Source organism: Homo sapiens, chromosome 6 (genome assembly GCF_000001405.40).
Source record: "Homo sapiens chromosome 6, GRCh38.p14 Primary Assembly".
Taxonomy (NCBI): Eukaryota; Metazoa; Chordata; class Mammalia; order Primates; family Hominidae; genus Homo; species Homo sapiens.
The window spans coordinates 41,041,386-41,051,927 of record NC_000006.12 but is presented as its reverse complement, the minus strand read 5'-3'; the positions used below and the strand labels follow the sequence as shown (position 1 = coordinate 41,051,927).

The 10,542-nt window shown below is 49.9% G+C and overlaps 1 protein-coding gene across 4 annotated transcripts; it reads right to left on the bottom strand.

Moving 5' to 3' along the window:
• Positions 1 to 7,590: 7,590 nt before the first annotated feature.
• On the bottom strand, positions 7,591 to 10,542 carry TSPO2 (translocator protein 2). Of its 4 annotated transcripts, none has more exons than XM_011514396.3 (4): positions 10,501 to 10,542; positions 8,770 to 8,962; positions 8,230 to 8,371; positions 7,591 to 7,988 (listed from the first exon to the last, which is right to left on the bottom strand). In XM_011514396.3, the coding sequence occupies exons 2-4, from the start codon at positions 8,940 to 8,942 to the stop codon at positions 7,791 to 7,793; spliced, it is 513 nt and encodes a 170-aa protein (XP_011512698.1). In that variant the 5' UTR covers positions 8,943 to 8,962; positions 10,501 to 10,542; the 3' UTR covers positions 7,591 to 7,790. The 4 variants fall into 4 exon arrangements, with proteins under 4 accessions (XP_011512698.1, NP_001010873.1, XP_011512699.1 ...); NM_001010873.3 differs by lacking the exon at positions 10,501 to 10,542 and adding an exon at positions 9,150 to 9,461; XM_011514397.3 differs by lacking the exon at positions 10,501 to 10,542 and adding an exon at positions 9,383 to 9,461.

The following is a 10,542-nucleotide window of genomic DNA, read 5'->3' as shown; positions in this document are numbered from 1 at the left end:
TGGGGCCTTATGGGCTGTCATAAGTACCTTGCTTTTTCTCAGACTGAGGTGGGAAGCCATTGTCTCTGAACAGGTGAGACAGGTGGTCTGAGCACTTGGGAAGAGCAGAGGCAGGGGACCAGTGAGAAGCCTACTGAGGCCAGAGAGAGATGATGGGGGCCCATAGAAAAGACCCTGAGCCGGAACAGCAGCAGAGGATGGCTAGATGATTTTTGCAGCTCTCATGATGGGTACTTAGCAGAGGCAAAAGTCTTCGTGTTTGGAGCAGTGCAAACACTCTAGGCCATTCTCAGGGAAGCAGAAGGAAGGGGTCAGGGTCACTTGTAGGTTGAAAATGAGGAACCTAAGAACACTGGGGAACGGATCTGAAAACAGCTCCAAATGGGTTTGGCTGGTGGGGATGAGAGGGTAGGGCACCCTTTGGAGGGTCTGACTAAAGAAGAGGAGTCAAGATGGTTTGGAAGATTTAGGGCTCACTCCTCCAGAGAGTCTGAGCAGCAGAGTGCTCTGTTAGTGTGATGCCCAGCATTTTGGTTTGCCAGTCATGGTTTCTTCCTGTTGTCCAGACATAATTACTAATAGCACCCCTTTACTCCCAAAGGTGTCCCGCTGTGGACAATAAATTATATGGTCCCCTACCTTTTGGATTTACTACTAAAAGGATTATTATTATTTATTTTTTGAGATGGAGTCTCACTCTGTCACCAGACTGGAGTGCAGTGGCACGATCTTGGCTCACTGCAACCTCCGCCTCCCGAGTTCAACCGATTCTCCTGCCTCAGCCTCCAAAGTAGCTGGGACTACTGGCATGTGCCACCAGGCCCAGCTAATTTTTGTAATTTTAGTAGAGACAGGGTTTCACCATGTGGCCAGGATGGTCTCCATCTCCTGACCTCGTGATCCGCCTGCCTTGGCCTCCCAAAATGCTGGGTGGCATGAGCCACCGCGCCCAGCCACTGAAAGCATTTTTATCTGGATCTTATTTTTTCAAACATTTTTCGGGGGGAATAAAGCACTGAGTAGAGATAATAGTGCCTGTGTCCACAATAAAAAGACAGTGGCAGCTGATAAACTGCAAAGAATGTTGTTATCACACAAACATACCACGTTTAAATGTAAAGAGTTTACTTCATTTTCTTGTTCAGTCAACATTTATCAGAGGTTCCTATGTTCCAGGTGCGGTGGTAAATACCAAGAGTACAGAGATAAATAAGGTGCTGGCTCACCAGGGGATCCCAGCTTTTATCATATTTGGGGCATTAATCAAGCATTCAAGCATGCATTATCTCATTTAGTCCTTACACCAGTCTCACATGGGTGTGAATTATGGGCCTCATTTTGCAAGTTAGGGACTTGTGGCTGAGAAAGGTGAAGTGATTTGTATAAGATCACACGGGCTTTGAGTTCAGGTCTTCAGAGCCCAAGTTCAAGTTTAGCCTATTCCCAGGGCTGCGCACAGCTACCTTTGATGAAACATCTCTGAAGCATTATAAATGTGCATCCCTCTCACACTTCCCAGGCCCAGCTAGGGTGATATGCTTGGATCAACGGAGGAAGAGTAAAATGTCTTGGGGAGGAAAGCAAGGAGGATGGATCCTTTCAGTTCACTGTTCCCCTGCAAGAAAGACTTCCTCCCTGAGGACAGGGCCTTCTATTTTGGCTGTCATGTATAACCCTGGATTAGGAGGCAAAAAATATTCTACGTTCATATCCCCATCTTAGCCCGATTCACTGTGTGATCTTGGACAAATCACTTGACATCTCTGAGCCTCCGTTTTCCCATCTGTGACACAGGCTGTGCTATTGATTTCTATTTCCAAATGGTCAAAGGGCAGAAAATAGGGCGCCGAGTGGGCTTGTGAAGACCACAGGTGAATGGCGTGTCGAGAATTTCCTGCCTCTCCCAACAGCTCAGAGTGAATGGTGCCCAGGTGGTCTCAGGCTGGTCCTTAAGAGTTGACCCCTTTCTTCTGTCTTACTTATAGACAGTTTTCCCTTCGACCTTTGGGAGAGGGTCCTGGGTCTGCCCCCAGACTGATGACTGACAGCTTCCTTTTTCACTGCTCCTTTGAGCCTTCCCCGTCTCCCAGCCTGCCATCCCTGGAGGCCCTCTGATCTGCTCTAGCTATTTATGGCACCTCCTGGGGGCCTGAATTCCTGGCTGGTCTCTGGCTCTTCTTTCCAAGTCAGACCAGTTTACTCTGCTCACCCCAGAGTGCAGCAACTAATCTGGGGGATCAGATTCCAGGAGCTTGACTCCTCTCCCTACAGCTGCCTCTATACTCTTCAGGGCTGGCACACCCCACACCCAGTGTTAACCCTATTGGGTAAGGTTCTATCAGTAGTCCCCCTCCTGCACAGGAGGATACTGGGCAGTAAGGTATTTCATTCAAGGTCACATGTGGAGTCAGTGGGGTGCTGGGATTTGAACCCATATCTGTCAGCTCCCAAGTTCCATGCTTCTCCTACTGTGTCATATTCCCTGGAATTTAGTAACAAGGAGAGCTGACATTAACACAGTCCTTGCTGCTGGCCTGACATTACTCTAAAATATTATGTAGGTTAACTCATTTATTCCTCACAAGGATGTTTGGGGTAGGTACTATTATTATCCTAATTTTTCTGGTGAGGAAATTGAGACCAGAGAGGTTAAGTGACTTGCCCAAGGTGATGCAGCTAGAGAGGGCAGAGCCATGTGCTTCCAGAGTCATGTTTTACCTCCTTCACCATTCAGTCTCAACTGCTGCCAGCACCCATGAGGCCCAGCTCTGGGAGAAGGGAAGGACAGAGACCAGTGGGAGTTGAAGAAGCTGAGAAGGAGTTCTTGCAGGAAAAACAGACTCTAGGGAGTAATTGGTACATGAGGGGTGTGTGTGTGTGTGTATCTGTGTTTTGGGGGTACAGGTAAAGAGACACCAGACAGCTAGTATCTGGGGATGGAAACCAAAATTGGAATCCTCCCAGCCTGTCTCTGCAGGCCCTTGCCCCCTTCTGTTGGGATGGCAGTGGCTGAAAGGAGCTGGGTTAGGCCTGGGATACGCTGCAGCATGCCTCTCCCTGTCCTGTTTCCCACGGTCATTTCAGAAAACATTCAGAGATTCTAGGAGGTGGCTGAGAAGGAGAGGACAGGGTCAGGCATGGTTGTTCCTTGGATCTTGGCTGGATGTGGAGCTGCCCTCATTGGGAAGGGAGCAGAGAGGCCAGGAGCAGGGCTGGTGGAAAATAGAAGCCTCACCAGAGGAAGGTTTAAATTCTCACTCCCTGAAAGAGGATACCTCAGGGGTGCATTGATGGAGTCGGTGCTTTATGTGCAGGGACAGCTGGGACCCCAACAGTACGTTGCCCCAGAGACACAGCCCAGGCCTGCCTGCCCCTCTGGTCACTACTGAGACAAGGTACACAAACAACAGGGCTCGGGCACCAGACACCCCTCTGGAGGGCGGGAGGCTGCTTCCTCTAGCAACTGCTCTGTTGATATAAACGTGAGGTGTCCAGGGCTTTGAGCAGCCTTGGCCAATGAAGAGGGGAGGGGGCCAAGGGTCTCCCAGAGTCTGAGGCTGGGATTGGAGAAGGCACCAGAATCACAGGGCAGGACAGAGTTTACAGTCTTCTGTACAGGACACAATGCTTGCTTTGCCATGTGGGACACACCACCCTGGGTAAAATGGTGACTTTAGTCCTGGTCACCATGGTTTCCATTCCAGTGGCTACTCCTGGCACTGCCCAGCTCCCGTGGCTGGCACTTTCAGTCTTTAAAGAAAGTGATCTGATAAGGATCATGTACATTAAGGTGACTAATAGTATTCCTCTTTGAAGGGGTGTTTGCAAGGCCAAAGAACCTACTGGGAAGAGGTGACAAACTACAATCAACTTGAGAGGGGAATTTCAGCCCTTAAAATGAGAAATGTGTTAGAGTAGGTGCAAGTGGACGCTAGGGGGATTTTTCTGGTACTTGTCTTAGCGGATAATCTCTGTGTGGGCTGGGCGACCTGGGAAAGGGACAAATGAGGCCCTGATGAACATGATCAAGGCCCTGGTGTGACCAGGGATGGCTTCCCCTGGCTTCCATACCAGAAGAAGAGCCTAAATGTATGGAGTGTCCTCAACATTTGGGGGTGGGGGGAGAAGGAGTCTGGGAGGCAAGTAAATGTTTTTTTGGGCTCTACTTGAGGATACAAGAGGAAGGTCGAGATCTGAGGGAGTTCTCAGCAAAGTTGGGCTTTGGACTGAGTACCTTGTAAGCTGCTAATGAGAATCAGCAGTAAAATCCTTAAAACAAAAGGATTGTGTGCTTGTTTTCTGGAACTACAAGAAAGGGGACCTCTGGGAAGACTCTGAAACTGGGCTTGGGGTACAGGGGAGCCCCAAGCGACAGAGCAGATAGTGGCCATTCACAAAAGAAAAGAGACTTTGGAGCCCTGGCCCAGGACTGACAACATTCAGGGGCCTCTAGGCATCTCCTGCGCAGCAGCTCTACCTGCCTGTAGGTAGGAGGGGCCAGAGATGTGCAGAATAAATACATCCTACACTCTGCCCTGTTCCTAGCCCAGCTGACCAATCTTTGACCACTAGACATACACCTACCACTCTGCCATCTCACCTAGCCTCTCTATGTTTCCATTCTGCAGAAATTGGCAAAGTGAGGAAGAGTGAAGGTTTAGAAGAGGAAAGGATGAACTAGGATACAATAGAATGAGATATGCCACCTCCTGGGTCTGCTGTTTTACCTAGTGCCTCTCTAGCCGCTGGACGGGAGATCTGCAGAGCCTTATGATCTTGTCTGTCTCCGACTCAACCAAATCAGAGGCAAATGGAAAAATACTGCCTCAGAACAAAAATGTGCACATAATTTGAATGGTGGAAGCTTGGGATACACTTGCAAAGAGAAGAGGCAGCTCCAAGTCTATTTAGGCACAGCTCTTAAGTAACAAGAGAGGAGGGGCAAAGGCAGGTGTCCACTAGGCTGGGCTCTGAACTGGGAAGTGGGGTAAGGGGAAAGATAAGAGCCCCAGGGAGGTTGGAGACTGTGGGATTAGGGGCTCCCTTCACCCAGGAACCAAGGAGCTGGGGCAGAGGAGGATTTTAAGGACAACTTTGGAGTTAGAGGATAAGAGTTTGGAGTTGGGATTCTGCCCTTTCATGCTGAGTTTCTGCACATGGCCAAAAATCTCTTTAGCTTGGCTCATGCTGTATCAGGCGGTCGTGCTAGCCCAGGGCTTGGGACACTGCCCAAATTAAGCTTTCTTCTAGGGCTAAGTCCTAAGCTAGAGGCATGGGTTAGTGGCTCCAGCTTGCCTTGGGGAGGTCAAAGTAATACCCTAGGCATCATACATCTTCTTGGAGGTTCCACCTAACTTCTAGAATTAGCTGGTAATGAATAAAATTGGTAGCAAATATTACAATGCATATATTATTATGAGATGATAATAATGATAATGGAAGATAATGTCTGGGGTGCCCACTTGCCAAGATCACACAATGGTGGTAGAGCTGGGTAAGAACCCATGTATTTTGGGTTCCGAGCCTATCCTCTGTCCATCAGTATTTATAGCTAGAAGTTGCACCAGGTTACCAGTTAATAGATAACAGAGTCAATATCCAACCCCAGGTTGGTCTGACTCCATGGCCAGAACTGCAAATCACCATACCCTATTGCTCTCACTCCCCAAGATGACCTGATTTCATGGGTCTGGAGTCCCAACAAGTGTCTCAGGAGGTCTCTGGGGCACACTTTGAGAAGCAGTAAGAAGCAATACCCTGCAGCAGCACATCTCAGTTTGGCTGCACATTAGAACCAGGAGTTTCCAAAATGATTAAAGCCTTTCCCTTCTTTTTTCAGTTGTTCCAGAGTAGGGGTGGGGGTAGGGGTGGCGGCAGGTGCTGGTCAGCATTTGTTTTTAAAGTACAACAATGTGTTCATTTATTCGTTCAATTAATCAACAAATAAAAACGTACAAGCACCTACTCTGTGCTCTGCCCTGTCCTGGGGCTGGAGATACAAAGGTGGGTGGGACACTGTGTGTGTCCTCCTGGGGTGCCTGTGACCTGACCCACTGGGCTGAGCATGCCCTTGGTGGAGGAGGGGAGGCTGCAGACTCCCTCTCTTGGGTGAGCTCTGGAAAGAGCCACTCCTCTTCTCAAATTATGCTGCCTTACTGGCTTCTCACCTGAGAGCATACAGTTTGTTTCAGCTCTAAAACTCAGCTCACAAAACCTCAGAGTGTCAAGGCTAAACGGGCCCTGATAAACGATCTGTGCCCAAAGCACTCAAACTAGCTAGCAGCTGACAGAAGTGCTCAGGAGGTTTTAAATCTGAAGATGCCAAGAGCCCACCCGCAACGTTCTCATTTATGGGTCCTGAGTGCGGTCTGAGGAACATGCATTTTTTTAAATAGCTCCAAACAGCTGTGGTACAGCCTTGGCTGCACCTGAGGAGGTCTTGGGAAGTTTTAAAAATGTTGATGCCCAGGCCTCCTTCCTGGAGAGGCTGATGAGGATTTTTAAACAATTCTGGTGATCCCCATCATGCAGCAGGTGGAGACCCCCTACTGCAAGGTGTCTGGGCCTTCCAGCTGACCTTGTTAAAGATTTGAGGAGGCTTACTCAAGGGCGGTCACTCCTTGCCACCATCAGGGCTTTGAAACAAGGACAGAAGAAAATCAGAGAAGGGAGGAGTCAAAAATTAAAAAGCCACTAAGAAGGTTTAGAAAAAGAGAAGCAAGATAGAAGGCTGAACAAGAAGCTCCTATGGATTCACCTGTCAGCACCCTGAGGCTTAATCTCTTTTTTTCAATCTTCTTTGCCTTATTCTAATAGTAATTAATTGATGTAAAATAAGGAAAGCATAGGAATGTATGAAAGCAAAAAAGAAGGTCTATAATCTTATTTATCAGAGATGTATAACATATATATCATACAACCATAGTATATGTTATAACTAGATATTGCATCATAAATCTGATATATAAATTAATGTATAATATATACTATATAACCTTAACATGTATAATTAGTATCCCCCCCTTTTTTTTTGAGATGGAGTCTCACTCTGTCACCCAGGCTGGAGTGCAGTGGCATGATCTCGGCTCACTGCAACCTCCTCTTCCCCGGGTTCAAGTGATTCTCCTGCCTCAGCTTCCTGAGTAGCTAGGACTACAGGTACTCACCACTGCACCCAGCTAATGTTTGTATTTTTGGAGGCAGGGTTTCACCATGTTGGCCAGGCTGGTCTCGAACTCCTGACCTCATGATCCACCCGCCTTGGCCTCCCAAAGTGCTGGGATTACAGGTGTGAGCCACCACTCCTGGCCCCCTAGTACCCTTTTTTAAGGTGTATTTTTCTGTTTTGGCTTTTTTGTCACTTTTAAAAAGCCTTTTGTTTTTCAGGTAATTAAACATCTGAGTGCTAAATCTTTATGCCAGGTGGGGAGGCATGTGAATGGAGGCGAGCTGGTGTGCCCACCCCTCCCCCATGGGCCTTCACACATTCATTCACGCGCACACACTCACACAGAGGTCCAGAAGCTTCTATCCCACTCTGCCGCCCTAGTCATCATATTATGCATTCAAATACACACTTCACATCATACCTTCAGAGTTACTAATAGGATTTTATTATTTAAGTGTAAAATCAGTTTCCCCCCCTTTCCCATTTCTCTGATTTCTAAGGAAAAACGGCACCAGGGGACCCAGGAGGGTGGTCCCATTGGGGTGAACCCTAACTCCACAGCCCTGCTTGCAGACTCTTCCTCCCCACCCTGGGCGTCCCTCCTCTCCCATGCCCTAGGGCCTCAGTCACTCTTCTCCGTGGGCTGAGGCTGGTGCACTGGACAAAGGCTGTCCCTCCACAGGTGGTAGGTGAGGGCTGAAGTCACGGTGAGCCAGGCTAGGTAGGGCAGCAGTAACAGGGCAGCCAGTTTGTTGATGGGATGCCAGATCAGTGCTGTGCTCACCACCAGCCCATACAGCAGCAGCAGGTGCAGCAGGGCCTGGGCATAGAGGCCGGGGGTCAGCTGGCTGCCCGAGAACCAGCACCTCCACCTTTCTGCAGTACCCAGCCCAGCAACGAGCTCAGTCCCTGGGGCTCTGTGCACACCATGGGAGTGCAGAGAAGTCTGCCCACCCATTACCTGCCTGCACTCAATTGCTCTGCTGAATTATGTGCTTCTGGAGCCAGGTGGTTTCACCCTCTCCCACATTACTTCTGCTACTGAGCACTGTGTGCCTTACCAGACCAGGGTTGTGGACTGTGAAAAAGAGAACCAGGACAGTCCAGCTGATGGTGAGCTGAACAGCATAGAGGCCAAGAGGCAGGGCCAGGGGCCACCCCAAGCCCCCTCCCAGGTCCTTCCACACCAGGTAGGAGGCATAGCTGTGGAGACATGGTGGCAAAAACATTCAGTGGGAGGAGGTTCCGTGGCAAATGGAGGAGGCTCTCTGGCATAAGGACTCTTGGATACCCTTGTGGGCTGAAATGGGGGCAGATGGGTTTAGGCATCATGTAAGGGCCAGGGAGGGAGTTGGTGGGAGGAGCTGGGCATGGTGAGGTGGAGGAGGGGCTGGGGAGACTTAGAGAGGGTGGAAGAAGGGCTAACTGGAACCCCAGGCAGGCATAGAGGGTTTCTTACTTTCTGGAGGACCCACTATGGTGGTGAGAGGCAAGACAAAGCGCCTACCTTTGGAGGCCAATATATGGGAGTAATTCAGATATAGAGGACTTGTTCCCACCCCATTGGGTACCAGGGCCATGTGTGAGAAACAAGTACTCACCCCACGACAGAGTAGATGGCTGTCTGTACAAGCAATAAGACTTTGTAGAATGGGCACCAGGACAGCATCCTCGGGCCCTCACACCAACCAGACATGTGATCACGAGTGAACAGCCAGACCAGGATGGGCCCCAGGTGGGGCAGGAGCACAAAGATAGCCCCTTGAAGCCGCATTCACCTTGAAGAGGCAAAATCTGGGGAGGCAGAGAACATGCTAGTGATGAGCCTTCCCCTGCGGCTCCTCGTCTGTCTCTGCCTCCTAACCTGACTCATTTCCTGGCCTGAGCCCCTCAGAGAAGGTCTACTCACGGAGGTCCTTCCTCTCTCCCTGGCCCAGCTCCAGTCCTGTACCTCTGAGCTCTCTCCAACCCCAGGCCACACCTTGCCCATCTCCTGGCTTCCATGGACTTCTTTTCTCCACAGCACTCCTCTGGCACTTGGAGGACACTGCCCAGCACTGGTAACTGCTTCTAAGTGAATAGGCCTTCCTCCAAGTGCTTCTGAGTCCTGGAGATCAGGTCCCGGGTGATGAGCTTTTCTGCAGTGGGCAGCGCTTAGCCAGGTATGTAGCTGGCCCTCACCGAGAACTGTTCTACCTAAGCTGATCTACCAACCTGGAAAGTTCACAATCTGAAGGCAGGAGCCAGAAATTCCTGGGGACTCTTTTCTAGTCACGAATGCGGCAGCACATCTGTCCCAGGCTTATCTCACCATATCAGACTGGCACACTCATGGGGCCCACCCAGGCTGATCTCCTGCCCAAATTCAAACTTGGCCTGTTGACACCGTGGATTCCTTTTTCTGAACTTTTAGCTCTCTTCTACCCCTGGAGCCATGGGGTATGAGCTTCCTGCTCCATCTTTCCATTCCCAGAGTGTCAGGATGTAAGCACAAGCATCCAGGTTTCTTGTGGCCTGACTTTTCAAGGAAACAACTGCCTGGTCTTTGATTAAAAAGCTGCCAAGGTGGCATGTTGCTTTGCATGTCATTTGCATGTGGGACAATGTACAGACCCTCCTCCAGCCAAGGCCCCACCAAGGCCCCACAAATATCATTCTTCTCATTTGTTCATGATATTTCAGCCTCCCCCCATGATTAACCAGATTTGAAGGAGAGAAAACAATCTGATTATTTTCAGTATTCTGGACTGACTATCTAATCCATCCTTTTTTTTTTTTTCTTTTCATACAGAGTTTCACTCTTGTTGTCCAGGCTGGAGTGCAGTGGTGCAATCTCGGCTCACTGCAACCTCTGCCTCCCTAGTTCAAGTGATTCTCCTGTCTCAGCCTCCCTAGTAGCTGGGATTACAGGCGTGCGCCACCATGCCCGGCTAATTTTGTATTTTTAGTAGAGATGGGGTTTTGCCATGTTGGTCAGGCTGGTCTCGAACTCCTGACCTCAGGTGATCCACCCGCCTTGGCCTCCCAAAGTGCTGGGATTACAGGCATGAGCCACTGTGCCTGGCCCTAATCCATCCTTTTCTGTCAAGGGTCAGGGACACTGGTCCTGGAGGTTCTGGGACAGAGCTGAGCAGCATGCCCACCTGTGCATATTTCTACTTGTCTTTCTGTGCTCCTGACTGTCCGTTTGCTCATCTTCTGCCTTCCTGTTTTTCTACATTTCTGTCCAGTGGTGGAGGCCCCCTCCCTGCCCCTCCCTGCCCCCATCCTCTTTTCTCCTGACACCTGCCTCTCCCAGTGCCTCCTGGTTCCTAGGCCTGTGCTCCCCTTACCTCTGGCAGCACACCTCCCAGGCGGGGGGCCTGATGACATAT

Coding starts and splice junctions, on each gene's coding strand:
- TSPO2 (XM_011514396.3), bottom strand. CDS start 8,942: ATGCGGCTTCAAGGGGCTATCTTTGTGCTCCTGCCCCACCTGGGGCCC. Junction 8,372..8,769: donor GCCATCTACTCTGTCGTGGG/GTGAGTACTTGT, acceptor ATGTCTCCACAG/CTATGCCTCCTACCTGGTGT. Junction 7,989..8,229: donor CAGTCCACAACCCTGGTCTG/GTAAGGCACACA, acceptor CTCTATGCCCAG/GCCCTGCTGCACCTGCTGCT.